This window comes from Homo sapiens, chromosome 7 (assembly GCF_000001405.40).
Source record: "Homo sapiens chromosome 7, GRCh38.p14 Primary Assembly".
Lineage (NCBI taxonomy): Eukaryota > Metazoa > Chordata > Mammalia > Primates > Hominidae > Homo > Homo sapiens.
The window spans coordinates 74,815,092-74,831,885 of NC_000007.14; the positions used below are offsets into that span (position 1 = coordinate 74,815,092).

At 46.1% G+C, this 16,794-nt stretch overlaps 1 protein-coding gene across 23 annotated transcripts in view, besides 2 other annotated features; it reads right to left on the minus strand.

Moving 5' to 3' along the window:
- The window catches only part of GTF2IRD2 (GTF2I repeat domain containing 2), a 55,455-nt gene that overhangs the window by 18,941 nt on the left and 19,720 nt on the right, over window positions 1–16,794 (minus strand). For 10 of the 23 annotated variants that reach the window (NM_001388082.1, NM_001388081.1, NM_001388080.1 and 7 more), the window contains 5 exons: window positions 9,842–9,961; window positions 7,533–7,716; window positions 7,336–7,364; window positions 4,878–4,932; window positions 4,463–4,506 (listed from right to left, as the gene is read on the minus strand). In NM_001388082.1, coding sequence (NP_001375011.1) covers window positions 4,463–4,506; window positions 4,878–4,932; window positions 7,336–7,364; window positions 7,533–7,716; window positions 9,842–9,961 — 432 coding nt within the window. Of the gene's footprint in view, window positions 1–4,462; window positions 4,507–4,877; window positions 5,547–7,335; window positions 7,436–7,532; window positions 7,717–9,841; window positions 9,962–16,794 lie in introns of those variants that run through there. The other 13 variants (NR_170888.1, NR_170887.1, NM_001388461.1 and 10 more) reach the window with 4 other exon arrangements.
- Window positions 1–16,794: part of a biological region, named in NCBI's record as "Williams-Beuren syndrome medial block B recombination region", that runs on past both edges of the window. NCBI's record gives its function as "recombination_partner: LOC106029311 | LOC106029313".
- Window positions 1–16,794: part of a non allelic homologous recombination region, noted in NCBI's record as "sub-region SSN9'-SSN11', recombines with sub-region SSN9-SSN11 within the WBS centromeric block B recombination region", that runs on past both edges of the window. NCBI's record gives the evidence for it as "EXISTENCE:restriction fragment detection evidence [ECO:0001124][PMID:12796854]".

The following is a 16,794-nucleotide window of genomic DNA, read 5'->3' on the forward strand; positions in this document are numbered from 1 at the left end:
GAGGGGTCGTCTGAAAACCTTTAACAGCTCTGTTGGTATAAGGACAGTGAAGCTAAACATTTAAAAATCTGATTTTCAGCTGGGGACAGTGGCTCAGACCTGTAATCCCAGCACTTTGGGAGGCTAAGGTAGGCAGATCATTTAAGGTCAGGAGTTCGAGACTAGCCTGAACAACAGGGTGAAAACCCGTCTCTATTAAAAATACAAAAACCAGCCAGGTGTGGTGGTGGGCACCTGTAATCCCAGCTACTCGGAAGGCTGAAGCAGGAGAATCGCTTGAACCCGGGGGGGCGGAAGTTGCAGTGAGCTGAGATCACACCACTGTACTCCAGTCTGGGCGACAGCGAGACTCTGTCTCAAGAAAAGAAAAAAAAATTGGCCTGGTGCGGTGGCTCATGTCTGTAATCCTAGCACTTTGGGAGGCCGAGGAGGGTGGATTACCTGAGTTCAGGAGTTTGAGACCAGCCTGGGCAACACGGTGAAACCCTGTCTCTACTAAAATACAAAAAAATTAGCCAGGTGTGACGGCGTGCACCTATGATTCCAGCTACTCAGGAGGCTGAGACAGGAGAATCACTTGAACCTGGGAGGCAGAGGTTGCAGTGAGCTGAGGTCGTGCCACTGCACTCCAGCCTGGCAAGACAAGAAAGAAAGAAAGGAAGGAAGGAAGGAGAGAAAGAAAGAAAGAAGGAAAGAAAGAAAGAAGGAAAGAAAGAAAGAAAGAAAGAAAGAAAGAAAGAAAGAAAGAAAGAAAGAAAGAAAGAAAGAAAGAAAGAGAAAATAAATTAAAACCAGGGAGATGGTTTGTTTTTGTAGCAAATGCTACACACATATCACAAGAAATAAGGACCAATTGAGGACCAGCTCTCAGGAGCCTGCTGGCAGCTGGTAGCAATCCATATCGCTTTATAAAGTCTACAGTAGGAAGTTTTGTGAATAAGGAAGCATATTTTTGTTCAAATGAAACCACATCTCCAACAAAGGCACGTGAGAACCACAGATCTAGCCCAACAGCTAGTGAGGAAGGAAACTCGGCCCCTGGGGACACTGATCACTTCTCACTCTCACCCCCTTCATCTTCCCAGGTTCTTTCTTTTTTCTTTTTTTCTTTTCTTTTTGAGACAGTCTTGCTCTGTCACCCAGGCTGGAGTGCAGTGGTGCCATCTTGGCTCACTGCAACCTCCACCTCCTGGGTTCAAGCAACTGTCCTGCCTCAGCCTCCTGAGTAGCTGGGATTACAGGCATGCACCACCACGCCCAGCTCATTTTTGTATTTTCAGTAGACATGGGGTTTCACCATGTTGGCCAGGCTGGTCTCGAACTCCTGACTTCAGGTGATCCGCCCACCTTGGCCTCCCAAATTGCTGGGATTATGGGCGTGAGCCACCGTGCCTGGCCTCATCTTCCCAGTTTGTATGTGGAGCCTGTGGCTTGGGGTATTCTTTTAATTCTCTGTGACCAGGTAAGACACAGGCAGAAGATATCTGAGCTCTGAAAACATCCAAGGCTAATATTGAGTGGGCAAGAGTTTGAGGCCTGTCACGTCAGAAACGAGACCAAGATTCCACAGCTGACCTGTGCTCACAGCTGAATTGTGCTGAGCTGAAATACTGCGCCCGTTTCTTTCCATTCAACTTGTCTTGGTTTGACCTAGAACCACACTGCACAGGAGAAGCACCATTTTTTGTTCAGACTCTCATCTGAAGCTGGAGCTTCTGCTAAGCACTTGTTTGCATGGGAGTGGAAGGGGACATGTGCACCCACAGTTGTGGCGAAAAGATCCTTGGGTGTGACAAAGGAGGAGGCGGGCCAAGGAGACCCATCCACTGTGTCCCTGGACCCTCCCAAGGAATCCCAGGAACTGCGAAGCATAAACCACATCTTCACTGTCTTAGAGACGCTGCTGTCCTTCCTTCATTTTACTCATGCTAAAGGCTCTATTTTTCTTTTCTCTAGAACTTTCTTTCTTTCCTTTTTTCTGAGACGGAGTTTCACTCTCACCCAGGCTGGAGTGCAATGGCGCAGTCTCGGCTCACAGCAAACTCTGCCTCCTGGGTTCAAGCGATTCTCCTGTCTCAGCCTCCCAAGTAGCTGGGATTACAGGCGTGCGTGGTGGCGCCTAATTTTTGTATTTTTAGTAAAGACAGGGTTTCACCATGTTGGCTAGACTGGTCTCAAACTCCTGACCTCAGGTGATCTGCCTGCCTCCGCTTCCCAAAGTGCTGGGATTACAGGCGTGAGCCACTAGACCCAGCCAGGTCTTTGTTTCTTAACACAGAATATTGTTTTTCTTTTGGATTATGATTATTATTCTTTGAAGCCAGGGTCTCGCTCTGTCACCCAGGCCGGAGTGCAGTGGTGCAATCATGGCTCACTCCAGCCTTTATCTCCTGGGCCCAAGTGATCCTCCAACCTCAGCCTCCCAAGTAGCTGGGATTATAAGTGCGTGCTACGATGTCTGGCTAATTTTTTATTTATAAATATTTTTTGTAGAGACAGGGTCTCGCTTTGTTGCCCAGGCTGGTCTCAAATTCCTGGACTCAGGCGATCCTCCTGCTTCAGCCTCCCAAAGTGCTGAGATTACAGGCGTGAACCTTTCAACTTTTAATGCTTTCAGTATTTTCCCATCCCTTGATTGAACATTTGGGTTTTAAATTATTTTTGTTGTTGTTGTTTCTTTTTGAGACAGAGTCTTGCTCTGTCACCCAGGCTAGAATGCAGGGGTGTGATCTCGGCTCACTGCAACCTCTGCCTCCTGCGTTCAAGCGATTCTTGTGCCTCAGCCTCCTGAGTAGCTGGGATTACAGGCGCCTGCCATGATGCCCAACTAATTTTTTGTATTTTTAGTAGAGACAGTGTTTCACCATGTTGGCCAGGCTGGTCTCAAACTCCTGACCTCAAGTGATCCGCCCACCTTGGCCTCCCAAATTGCTGGGATTACAGGTGTGAGCCACTACACCCGGCCTAAGCTTTTTTTTTTTTAATCTTAACCTGTTAACATTTTTCCTCTAATTAATGCTGGTTTTCTTTTATTGAGGAGTGAGGAGAAGCAAGAATGGGGTCAACCCCATTGAAGAGGGATTTTTTTTCCAGTATACACTGTCATAGTAATGTACCTATATTGTAAAACATTTAGAAATGACAGAAAAGTCCAAAAAAGCAGTAGTATATGTCCAAAAATGAAAACACTGCTCTATTTGTGAGTCAAGTAATAATTCCAAATTTATATTCAAAATGTTTTACTCATTTCAAATTCAGGTTCTCATTCAACTATAAATAAAATAATATTCTGTCCAAAAGTATGTGTATTTAATAACATCTTAGTCCCTATTATGTACTGAATTAGAAGGCTCCCTCTCTCTCTCTCTTTTTTTTTTTTTTTTTTTGAGACAACGTCTCTCTCTGTCACCCAGGCCGGAGTGCAGTGGTACCATTACAGCTCACTGCAGCCTCAACCTCCTGGGCTTAAGCGATCCTCCCACCTCAGCCTCCTGAGTAGCTAGGATCACAGGCATGCACCACCATTTTTTATATGTTTTGCAGAGATGAAGTCTCGCCATGTTGCCCAGGCTGGTCTTGAACTCCAGGGTTCAAGCAATTTGCCTGCCTCGGCCTCCCAAGGTGTTGGAGTTACAGTCGTGAGCCCGCACACCCTGCCAAGGCTTGTTTTCTAGATATTTGAGTAAAATAATGGTTCTGCAAATGAGGCTCCACTGAGGTTAATTCACGCCCTGGTCTTTATTTATTTATTTATTTGATAAAACAAAAGAAAGGTGTCAAATGATAACCTGCTAGATACTTGGTTCTTTTTTTTTGTTTTTTTGTTTTTGTTTTTGTTTTTGTTTTTTTTTGACACAGAATCTCACTCTGTAGCCCAAGGTGGAGTGCAGTGGTGCGATCTTGGCTCACTGCAACCTCCACCTCCCGGGCTCAAGCAATTCTCATGCCTCAGCCTCCCAAGTAGCTGGGACTACAGGCGCACACGAACATGCCCAGCTAATTTTTTGTATTTTAGTAGAGACAGGGTTTTACTATGTTGGCCAGGATGGTCTTGAACTCCTGAGCTCAGGCGATCTGTCCGCCTCAGCCTCCCAAAGTGCTGGGATTACAAGCGTGATCCACCGTGCGCAGCCTTGTTTGTTTTTTTGAGACAGGGTCTTGCTCTGTCACCCAGGCTGGAGTGCAGTGGCGCCATCTCAGCTCACTGCAGCCTCAGCCTCCCAGGTCCAAGCAATTCTCCTGCCTCAGCCTCCCTGGTAGCTGGGATTACAGGCACGCACAGCCACGCCTGGCTAATTTTTGTATTTTTAGGAGAGACGGGGTTTCACCATGTTGGCCAGGCTGGTCTTGAACTCCTGACCTCAAGTGATCCGCCTGCCTCGGCCTCCCAAATTGCTGGGATTACAGGCGTGAGCTACCACGCTTGGCCGATACTTGATTCTAAAAGCATCTTGGTACCCACCAGAATCTTCCATGGGTTCAGTTTTCACATTGATGGGGCCGCAGCTGCAAGGAGAAGGGAACCCTGGTCAGATGGGCAGGGTGAGGACCAGGCACAGCCGCCTGGACACGATGAGCTCAAATGCCCTGGATCTCCGCAGCACCAAATCCCCCTCCTCCCCTCAATCAAATGCAACAATGCCTCCATTTTAACATTAATGTCTTAATAAGTTGTTCCCAAATTAAACGTGTCTACCGAAAGTAGTCTTCTAATTCCAAAGGTCCTTTTGGACAAAGAATAGGATAGAAAATAAGGAAGGGAAGAAGCACATTAACCCTTTACACTCCACTTAAATGCTGTAAGGAGGCCTTTCTGTCATCCAAAAACGAACGCTGTGCATAGTTGTGGATTTTGGTTGCTGTGATTTATCTTTTACCTTTCACTTGGTGATACTATGGATCTCTCCGCATCTGTTACCATCCCAGGGCCACCTGTAGAGGAATGAAAAAACACACACCAGCCCCTTTTAGCACCTCGGAAAATGACTAACATCCAAAGGCATAGAAATTGACAGCAAATACACAGAAAACGGAACTCCCAGATCGAAGCCAACGTGGAAAAGTCATCGAGAGAGAAACTGACTCAAAGCAGCCGCTGTGTTCCGGGGCCATTTGTGTGGGCAGGATGGGGGTTACCGAGGAGTGTTTTGGGGCCAGAGCACGGTCGTGCGGCTGAGCCTCAGCTCACCAGCTGGGCTGCCTCCAGCAACTCACTAAACCTCCCTCTGCCTCCGCTTCCTCGTGAACACGGTGGTTGTGGGAGGATTCATGAATATACGCAAAATGACTAGAACAGTGCCTGCATGTTGTAAGCACTAAGTTAGAGCTGCTATGACACGAGCTCCCCCTTGATCTGTGGTTTCGCGGTCCTCGGTTTGCTCCCCAAGGTCAACCAAAGTCTGCAAAGAGTAAACGGAAAATTCCAGAAATAATTCAGAAGTTTGAAATCACACGTTGTTCTGAGCAGCGTGATGAAGTGTCGTGCCGTCCCGCCTGGGACGTGACTCATCCCTTTGTCCTGCAATCCACGCTGTCTACACTACTCTCCCACTAGTCACTGAGTAGCTGGCTCTGTTATCAGACTGACAGTCCTGGGAAGGCCAGGGTGCTTGTGCTCAAGTCACCTTTATTTGACTTCATAATAGCCCCAAAGTGCAAGAGTAGTAATGAAGGCATATTGTTATAATCATTTTATTTTATCTTTAGTTATTGCTGTTAATCTCCTACTTTGCTTGATTTATTGATTTATTTACTGAGATGGATCTTGCTCTGTTGCCTGGGCTGGAGTGCAGTGGCACGATCTCGGCTCACTGCAACGTCTGCCTCCCGGGTTTAAGCAATTCTCCCGCCTCAGCCTCCCGAGTAGCTGGGACTACAGGCACGCACCACCACGCCCGGCTAATTTTTGTATTTTCAGTAGAGACAGGGTTTCACCATGTTGGCCAGGCTGGTCTCAAACTCCTAACCTCAGATGATCCACCCGCCTCGGCCTCCCAAAGTGTTGGGATTACAGGCGTGAGCCACCACACCTGGCCTGTGCTTGATTTATAAATTAAACTTTCTCTTAGGTAGGTATGGCTAGGGAAAAACATAGTATATGAAGGGTTCTGTACTACCCATGGGTCCAGGCATCTACTGGGGGTCTTGGAGCATATTCCCCGAGGATAAGGGGGGACCACTGTATTATTGTTTTTCTATGATGATGATACAAGTCAGTTGGGACAACAATCCATGGCCACCTGCCACCCTGCCCCTCTCATTTGTCCTTTAATGTGAGTTAGAGGATGACAGGAACTCACCATCCCTCCCGAAACAGACTTTCCACTGTGTTTAGTCCCCGGCTAAGAAGAACTGAAGCATGTCATACACCCAGCAGGTGCCTTGTGAACTGTGCCACCCCCCACCCCTGCCGTCTCCTTACTCCACTTAGGCAGTCTCAGCAAGACATCTTCTTTTATTCTTCTTTATTTATTTATTTTTGAGGCACAGTCTCATTTTGTCACCCAGGCTGGAGTGCGGTGGCACAATCTTGGCTCACTGCAAATTCTACATCTCGGGTTCAAGTGATTCTCCTGCCTCAGCCTCCTGAGTAACTGGGATTACACGCACCCGCCACCATGCCTGGCTAACTTTGGTATTTTTAGTAGGGATGGGGTTTCACCATGTTGACTAGGCTGGTCTCGAACTCCTGACCTCAAGTGATCTGCCCACCTCTGCCTCCCAAAGTGCTGGGATTACAGGTGTGAGCCACTGCGTCCGGCCAATTTTTTTTTTTTAATAGCTACAAATGTATTTTTCTTTTTTTAAAAAATATTCTTTATTTCTTCTAAAAAAAAAAAGGGGGGGATACATCTGCAGAATGTGCAGGTTTGTTTCCTAGGCACATGTGTGCCACAATGGCTTGCTGCACCTATTGGCCCATCCTCTAAGTTCCCTCCCCTCACCCAAATTCAAGTTTTGTTTTTTTTTTTTTGAGACGGAGTCTTGCTCAGTCGCCCAGGCTGGAGTGCAGTGGCGCGATCTCCGCTCACTGCAAGCTCCACCTCCCGGGTTCACGCCATTCTCCTGCCTCAGACACCCGAGTAGCTGGGACTACACGCGCCCGCCACCACGCCCGGCTAATTTTTTTTCGTATTTTTAGTACAGACTGGGCTTCACCGTGTTAGCCAGGATGGTCGCGATCTCCTGACCTTTGTGATCCACCTGCCTCAGCCTCCCAAAGTGCTGGGATTACAGGTGTGAGCCATCACGCCCGGCCCCCAATTCAAGTTTTAATGAAGAAGAAGTGGTTCAGCAGCTCAGAAGAGCCACCAAACCTGAGAAGCTGTCACTTACCCAGCTGACTCTCTGGTCCTAGGAAGGGTCTGCAAGAAAAGCAACACCATTACCCAGCACGGACCAATGAAAAAAGCATGACACATCTGAACAGTCAGCTCTGAAACGCAGCAGGCGGGATGCACGAGTGAATTAAAATTAGGCTATTGGTTTCATCTTTAAATGAACTGAAGGGGCGGGGGTGCAGAGTGTGTCACCTATTTATGATGAATGAAATCCCTGCTTTGTTCTCCAAAATCCATTTCAGGGTTGCAAGGTCGTAATTCTCAGGGTGTTGAAAGGCAACGCCTTCCGGAAGCCCCTGCACTACCACAGCCGACTGGTCTCGCAGCATCTTCTCATAGGGAACAGGCACCATCACTGTTGTCCCTAAGGCTTTACCTACAAGAAGACGCAAACGTCTTTGGATGGTGTGAACCTAACGTTCTACCAGTTTTTTTTTGTTTGTTTTTTGTTTTTTGTTTTGTAGAAACAGAGTCTCGCTCTGCCACCCAGGCTGGAGTGCAATGGCAAGATCTCGGCTCGCTGCAACCTCCACCTCCTGGGTTCAAACAATTCTCCTGCCTCAGCCTCCCGAGTAGCTGGGACTACAGGCACACACCACCATGCCCAGCTAATTTCTTTTGTATTTTAGTAGAGATGAGGTTTCACCGTGTTTCCCAGACTGGTCTCGAACGGCTGAGCTCAGGCGATCTACCCACCTTAGCCTGCCAAAGTGCTAGGATAACAGGCGAGCCACTGAGCCCAGCCTAGTTTTTTTTGTTTTTGTTTTTGTTTTTAATTAAGAGACAGGGTCTCGACTGGGCTCACTGCAACCTCTGCCTCCTGGGTTCAAGCAATTCTCCTGCCTCTGCCTCCTGAGTAGCTGGCATTACAGCCGCCTGCCACCATGCCCGACTAATTTTTGTAGTTTTAGTAGAGACGGAGTTTCACTATGTTGGCCAGGCTGGTCTCGAACTCTTGATCTCAGGTGATCCACCCACCTCAGCCTCCCAAGTAGCTGGTGTGAGTCACCGTGCCCAGCCTGTTATCTAGCTTTTTAAAACACTGCAAAGGATTTTTGAAAATTATTTTTATTTTATTTTGTAGAGACAGGGTCTTACTATGTTGCTCAGTCTGGTCTCAAACTCCTGGGCTCAAATGATCCTCCCACCTTAGCCTCCCAAGTAGCTGGGATTACAGGCTCAAGCCACCATGCCCAGCGTATTTTTTTTTTTAATTCCCATCTTCATGCCTATGGAAAGACATGGGTAGGTGGAGTGACAACTGAGGGGTGAGGGAGGTGACTGAGCCAACATTGACTGTCTTTAGCAATACACTGGCCTTGATGCAGGGCTCTCTAAAATGGGATCAAGGAAGAAAGAGTGATCAATACAGAAGTTTCCACAGAGCAGAAGATCCAAGATCCACATCATCTTCTATAAGAACACTTAATCTGGTAATTAAGAACTGGTGGGCCGGGCGCGGTGGCTCACGCCTGTAATCCCAGCACTTTGGGAGGCCAAGGTGGGCGGATCACGAGGTCAGGAGATCGAGACCATTCTGGCTAACACAATGAAACCCCGTCTCTACCAAAAAATACAAAAAAAGTTAGCCGGGCACGGTGGCGGGTGCCTGTAGTCCCAGCTACTCAGGAGACTGAGGCAGGAAAATGGCAGGAACCCGAGAGGCGGAGCTTGCAGTGAGCCGAGATTGAGCCACTGCACTCCAGCCCGGGCAACAGAGCGAGACTCTGCCTCAAAAAAAAAAAAAGAACTGGTGGCCAGGCACGGCGGCTCACACCTGTAATCTCAGCATTTTGGGAGGTCGAGGCAGGAGGATCACCTGAGGTCAGGAGTTCGAGACCAACCTGGCCAACATGGCAAAACCCCATCTCTACTAAACATACAAAAATTAGCTGGGCAAGGTGGTGGGCACCTGTAATCCCAGCTACTTAGGAGGCTGGGGTGGGAGAATCGCTTGAACCCAGGAGGCAGAGTTTACAGTGAGCTGAGATTGTGCCAATGCACTTCAGCCTGGGTGTCAGAGCAAGACTCCTCTCAGAAAAAAAAAAAAAAAAGAACTAGCTCCTCGCTTGATAAGCATATGGGTTTTGAAATGTTCAAACATTCTAAGTAGTCATGGCAATAAGACTGTCTGTGACACTGTCCTACTCCTGGGTGAACCACTTAGAGAATTCATGCTTGGCTGGGCGCGGTGGTTCACGCCTATAATCCCAGCATTTTGGGAGGCCAAGGCAGGCGGATCACAAGGTGAGGAGTTTGAGACCAGCCTGGCCAACATGGTGAAACCCCATCTCTACTAAAAATACAAAAATTAGCTGGGTGTGGTGGCGGGCGCCTGTAATCCCAGCTACTTGGGAGGCTAAGGCAGGAGAATCGCTTGAACCCAGGAGGCGGAGGTTGCAGTGAGCCGAGATCGCACCACTGCACTCCAGCCTGGGTGGCAGAGCAAGACTCCATCTCAAAAAAAAAAAAATAGAATTAATGCTTAAAGTGAACGTTACCATAACAAAAGCAGAAATAGTCCTCCACTGCCTTCCTGAGTATTTCCGTTTCGCCTGAGTGGACCTGCATCCCGTTCACAGGGCAGGGAGGTTTCACCTCACACAGTCCCTCTGCAACGCCTGCAAATGGATGATTGGCATTAGGTCAGTTTCTAAGCATTTGTGCTGTACACTTCCGTACTTTGTTTCTGGTATTGAAAGAAAAAAGGGGAAAAAAGTGAATAAATATAAAACAAGATCTTTTAAAGAAAAACAAGAAAAAATTGTATTTATGATAAACAGGTTAATGAACTATAAAAAAATCAACATATAAAGAAATAGTAGTAGTTTAAGGAAATTATTATTTTTAGAGACAGGGTTTCACTCTGCTGCCCAGGCTGGAGTGCAGTGGGATGATCGAAGTTCCCGGCAGCCTCAAATTTCTGGGCTTAAGCGGTCCTCCCACCTCAGCCTCCAGGAGTGCCCCATCACACCTGGCTAACTTTTAAATTTTTTTTAGAGATGGGATCTCACTATGTTGCCCAGGCTGGCCTCTAACTCCTGGCCTCAAGTGATCCTCCCATCTTAGCCTCCCAAAGTGTTGGGATTACAGGTGTGAGGCACTGCACCCATCCAGAAATTATCTTTATAACAGAAATTTGATTTGCTATACAGTTGAAACGTGGCAATAATTGTATAGGAAGACTATACCCCTGAACCCATTCAAGACCAGCCCCAGAATCAATTGCTCCTCCAAAAGTTTTAAAACTGATTGTTTTCATCAGTCTAGTCAGAAGAGAGAAACCACATAGTAATTTGAACACAGAAAGGTTTTTGTTTTTTTTTTTGTATCAATGTAAGGGGCACAAGTATAGTTTTCTTTCTTTCTTCTTTTTTTTTTTTTTTTGAGACAGAGTCTCGCTGTGTCACCCAGGCTGGAGTGCAGTGGCATGTTCTCCACTCACTGCAAGTTCTGCCTCCCGGGTTCACGCCATTCTCCTGCCTCAGCCTCCTGAGTAGCTGGGACTACAGCTGCCTGCCACCACGCCCGGCTAATTTTTTGTATTTTTTAGTAGAGATGGCCAGAATGGTCTCGATCTCCTGACCTCGTGATCCGCCTGCCTCGGCCTCCCAAAGTGCTGGGATTACAGGCGTGAGCCACCACACCCCGCCAAGTATAGTTTTCTTGCATGGATATACGGTGTTGTTGGTGAAGTCTGGGGTTTTAGTGTACTCATCACCCAAATAATGTACATTGTACCCATGAAGTAATTTATCATCCCTTACCCACCTCCTGCCTCCCACCCCTGAGTCTCCAGTGTCTGTTATTTCACACTCTATGACCATGTTTTTGTTTGTTTGTTTTGAGACAGAGTCTCACTCTGTCGCCTAGGCTGGAGTGCAGTGGCGCAATCTCAGCTCACAGTAATCTCTGCCTCCTGGGTTCAGGAGATTTTCGTGCCTCAGCCTCCCTAGTAACTGGGATTACAGGCACCCGCCACTACACCAGGCTCATTTTTGTATTTTTAGTAGAGACAGGGTTTCACCATGTTGGCCAGGCTGGTCTCGAACTCCTGGCCTCAAGTGATCTGCCCACCTCGGCCTTCCAAAGTGCTGGGATTATAGGAGTGAGCCACTGCACCTAGCCTCACATTCTATGTCCATGTGTACCTATTATTTAGCCCCTCTTGTAAGTTAGGACATGCCGCATTTGCCTTTTTACGTCAAATGATAAAGACAATAGCCCCCAATCCCATCCATGTTGCTGCAAAAGACATCATTTCATTCTTTTTTTTTTTTTTTTTTTTTTTTTTTTTTTTGAGAGAGTCTTACTCTGTTGCCTAAGCTGGAGTGCAATGGCATGATCTCGGCTCACTGCAACCTCTGCCTCCCGGGTTCAAGCAATTCTTGTGCCTCAGCCACCTGAGTAGCTGGGATTACAGGCATGCACCACCGCCCCCGGCTAACTTTTATAATTTTAGTAGAGACGAGGTTTCGCCATGTTGGCCAGGCTGGTCTAGAACTACTGATCTCAAGTGATCCATCGCCTCGGCCTCCCAAAGTGCTTGGATTATAGGCATGCACTACCATGCCCGGCCATTTCATTCTTTTTTATGGCTGAATAGTATCCCATAGTGTACGTACCACATTTTCTTTGTCCCGTCATCTGGTGATGGATGCTTAGCTTGATTTGCACATCTTTGCTATTGTGAATAGTGCTGTGATAAACGTTCAAGGCAGGTGTCTTTTTGATAGAATGATTTATTTTCCTTTGGGTAGATGCCAAGTAGTGGGCTTGCTGGATTGAATGGGGGTTTATGTTTAGTTCTTTGAGAAATCTCCATACTGTTTTCCATAGAGCTTGTACTAATTTACACCAACAGGTGAAGTTTCCTAGAAGAGTCGTCAACTGGTAACATGGGATTAGCTGCTAGAGGGACTGAGGACTCTAAAGAGAACATAAGCAGCAAATTGCAAGAGCATCTGTGACTGCTGGGCTAAGGCAGGGGACCCAGGAGGGAGCAAATCCAGGAATGGGGTGGCTCCCCAGGGCCGAGATCCAGACCTCATTAAACAGGATTTGGTCACGGCCCACTGGATAGTGGGGAAGCCTGTGGGGGTGTCCATGTGGTGGCTGGCAAGCAGGGGCCTGCTTTCTGGGGGTGCTGGTGGAAATCACTAGACAGTTACCCTGTGGGTGCCTGCAACACTTTCTGGGCGTTATAAGGAAGATGGCCTCTAGTGTGCTAGTGGAACTCTCTGGAAGCTACCTGGAGGGTGATGCCAAGAGAATTTGCTGGGAAGCCATGCTCTGGGGAACTGGTGGAACTCCCTAGGAAACTGCCTGTGGGTATGGTGCCACTGAAATTCACTGCGAAACCTCCTTCTGCAATTTTCTTTCTTCCTTTTTCCTTTCCCTTTTTTTTTTTTTTTTGTCTTGCTCTGTCACCCAGGCTGGAGTGCAATGGCACGATCTGGGCTCACTGCAACCTCCACCTCCCGGGTTCAAGCGATTCTCCTGCCTCTCCCTCCCGAGTAGCTGGGATTACAGGCTCCTGCCACCACTAAAATTTTTGTATTTTTAGTAGAGACGGGGTTTTCCCATGTTGACCAGGCTGGTCTCGAACTCCCAACCTCAAGTGATCTGCCCGCCTTGGCCTCCCAAAATGCTGGGATTACAGGCGTGCCTGGCCCCAAGTGGAATTTATTCCTCAAATACAAGGATGGTTCAACATATTTAAATCAATCAATGTAACATACCACATTGACAGAATAAAGGACAAAAGCCACATGATCATCTCAATTGCCACAGAAAAAGCATTTGACAAGATTGAACATCCTTTCATGATAAAAGCACTCTACCAACTAGAAGTGGTAGGAAATGACCAATGTAATAAAGGCCATTTATAAAAAGTCCATGGCTAATATCACTCAACAATGAAAGACTGATAGCTAAGATCAGAAATAGCAAAGATGGGCCAGGTGCGGTGGCTCACCCCTGTAATCCCAGCACTTTGGGAGGCGGAGGCAGGCAGATCACTTGAGGTCAGGAGTTTGAGACCATGCTGGCCAATGTGGTGAAACCCCACCTCTACTAAAAAAATACAAAAATTAGCCAGGTGTGGTGGCACGCACCTGTAATCCCAGTTACTCAGGAGGCTGAGGCACGAGAATCACTTGAACCTGGGATCCGGAGGTTGCAGTGAGCAGAGATCAAGCCAGTGCACTCCAGCCTGGGCAACAGAGCAAGACTCCATCTCAAAGAAAAAAAAAAAAAAAGAAATGGCAAAGATGCCCTCTCTCCCCACTTCTGTTCAACACAGTTTTGGAAGTCCTAGCCGAGCAATTAAACTAGGTAAGAAAAAAAAAGGCCTCCAAATTTGAAAGAAAGAAGTAAAATTATCTCTGTTCATAGATGATACATGATTTTGTATGTAGAAAATCCTAAAAATTCCACACAAAAATCTATTTGAACTCCAACATATTCAGCAAAGTTGCAGGATACTACATCAACACACCAAATCAACTGCATTTCTATACAGTAACAATGAACAATCTGCAAAGGAAATAAAACAATTCCATTTACAATAGCATCAAAAAGAATAAAATCCTTAGGGATAGACCTAATCAAGGAAGGGAAAAATCTGTATACTAAAACAATAAAACACTGCTGAAAAAAATTAAAGAAGACAGGCTGGGCGTGGTGGCTCACGCCTATAATCCTATAATCCCAGCACTTTGGGAGGCCAAGGCAGGCAGATCACTTGAGGTTAGGTGTTCAAGATCAGCCTGGGCAACATGGCGAAGCCCTGTCTCTACTAAAAATACAAAAATTAGCTGGGTGTGGTGGTGCATGCCTGTAGTCCCAGCTACTTGGGAAGCTGAGGCAGTAGAATCGCTTGAACCTGGGAGGCAGAGGTTGCAGTGATCCGAGATCAAGCCACTGCACTCCAGCCTGGGCAACAGAGCAAGACTCTGTCTCTCAAAAAAAAAAAAAAAAAGAAAGAAAAGAAATTAAAGAAGACACAAACAAATGGAAAGACATCTCATGCTCATGGATTGGCAGGCTTAATATTGCTAAGATATCTGTACTACCAAAAGCCATCTACAGAATTATTGCAATCCCCATCAAAATCTCAAGGGCACTTCTCGTACAAATTAAGAAATCCACTCTAAAATTCACATGGGGCTGGGCGCGGTGGCTCACCCTGTAATCCCAGCACTTTTGGGAGGCTGAGGAGGGTGGATCACGAGGTCAGGAATTCAAGACCATCCTGGCCAACATGGTGAAACCCTATCTCAAAATACAAAAAAAAAAAAAAAAAATTAGCTGGGCATGGTGGCATGTGCCTGTAATCCCAGCTACTTGGGATGCTGAGGCAGGAGAATGGCTTGAACCGAGGAGGCAGAGGTTGTGGTCAGCCGAGATCTCTCCACTGCACTCCAGCCTGGGCGATAGAGCGAGATTCTGTCTCAAAAAAAAAAAAAAATTCATATGGAACACCAAGGGACTCTGAATAACAGAAGTAATCTTGAAGAAGAGCAAATTTGGAGGTCTCATACTTCCTGATTTCAAAACATATTATAAAGTAATCAAAACAGCATGATACTGGCATAAAGACAAATAGATCTACGGAATAGGGTAGGGAGTCCAGAAATAAACCCTTGACCAAATATTTAGCATGCATGCCAGGTGCAGATCTCAGCTACTTGGGAGGCCAAGACAGGAGGATCACTTGAGCCCAGGAATTTATGACCAGACTGGGTAATATAGCAAAACCCTGTCTCAAAAAAAAAAAAAAAAAAAAAGCTGGGCACGATGACTCACGCCTGTAATCCCAGCACTTTGGGAGCCAGAGGCAGGCGGATCACCTGAGGTCAGGAGTCTAAGACCAGGCTGGACAGCATGGGGAAACCCTGTCTCTACTAAAAAATACAAAAATTAGCCGGCTGTGGTAGCAGATGCCTGTAATCTCAGCTATTTGGAAGGCTGAGGCAGGAGAATGGCTTGAACTCAGAAGGTGGAGGTTTCAGTGAGCCAAGATCATGCCATTGCACTCCAGCCTGTCCGAAAGGGCAAAACTCTGTCTCAAAAAACAAAAACAAAAACGAAAAACCTGCGGCCATAAAAAAGAAAGAAATCATATCCTTTGCAGCAATGTGGAGGCAGCTGGAGGCCATTATCCTATGTAAATTAATGCAGGGACAGAAAACCAAATACCACATGTTCTCACTTGTAAGTGGGAGCCAAACCTTGGGTACACATGGACATAAAGATGGGGATGGGAACAATAGACACTGGTGGCTCCTAGAGGAAAGAGGGAAGTGGGGGCAAGGGTTGCAAAATGAACTACGGGGTACTATGCTCACTACTGTACCCCAAACCACAGCATCACACGATATACCCATGTAACAAATCTACACGTGTGCCCCCCGAATCTAAACTAAAAGTTGACATTATTAAAAGAAAAGAAAATATAAAAAGATTATCACACCAATTTCAGAACAGTTTCATTACAAGATGAATACTAGAGAAAATATTTGCGACAACAAAATTAACATGCAACTATGAATCTTAAAAAAATCTACAAGTAAATTTCAGTGATTAGAAATTCAACTGGCATCTGACATTAATGAATTGAGAATACCCTTCTTGTGTATCAATTACATACTGTATTATTTAAAGATGGCTTCATTTTTTAATCTGTCTTTTTGATAGTGGAGACCTTAATTTGGGATCTCGGAAGTAAATTTGAATCAATCTATCACTCAATTCTCCCCTCTCTCATCTCTCTCTCTCTCTCTCTATCCATTCATCTAATCTATCTATATACATATATATATATAATTCCTGTCTCCCTTATCTATCCATCCATCTAAGCTATCTACATACATATATATATATAATTCCTCTCTCTTATCTATCATCTATCCATTTATCTAATCTGTCTATATACATATGTATATAATTCCTCTCTCTTATTTATCTATCTACCTATCTATCTAATCTACTTATACACACACAGACACACACACACACACACACTTTATATACCCTCTGCCAATCCATAGAGACCCCTCTCTCTGTACATACACACACACACACACACACACACACACACACACACACACCCTTATACCCTCTGACGAACCTTTCTGATTTTTATCCTTTCATGGTTACAAGGAATATTAAATTGCTGTATCAATACTTGGTAAATAACCTACAGTGTTAGAGATTACCACCATAAAAGGTGTAGTTTTTTGTCTGGTTTTGTTTTGTCTTGAGACCGGGTCTCGCTCTATGGTCCAGACTGGAGTGCAGTGGTGTGATCACGGCTCACTGCAGCCTTGACCTCCCGGGCTCAAGAGATCCTCTCACCTGAGCCTCCTGAGTAGCTAAGACAACAGGCGAGTGCCACCACGCCCATCTAATTTTTTTTTGTATTTTTTAGTAGAGATGGAGTCTTGCCATG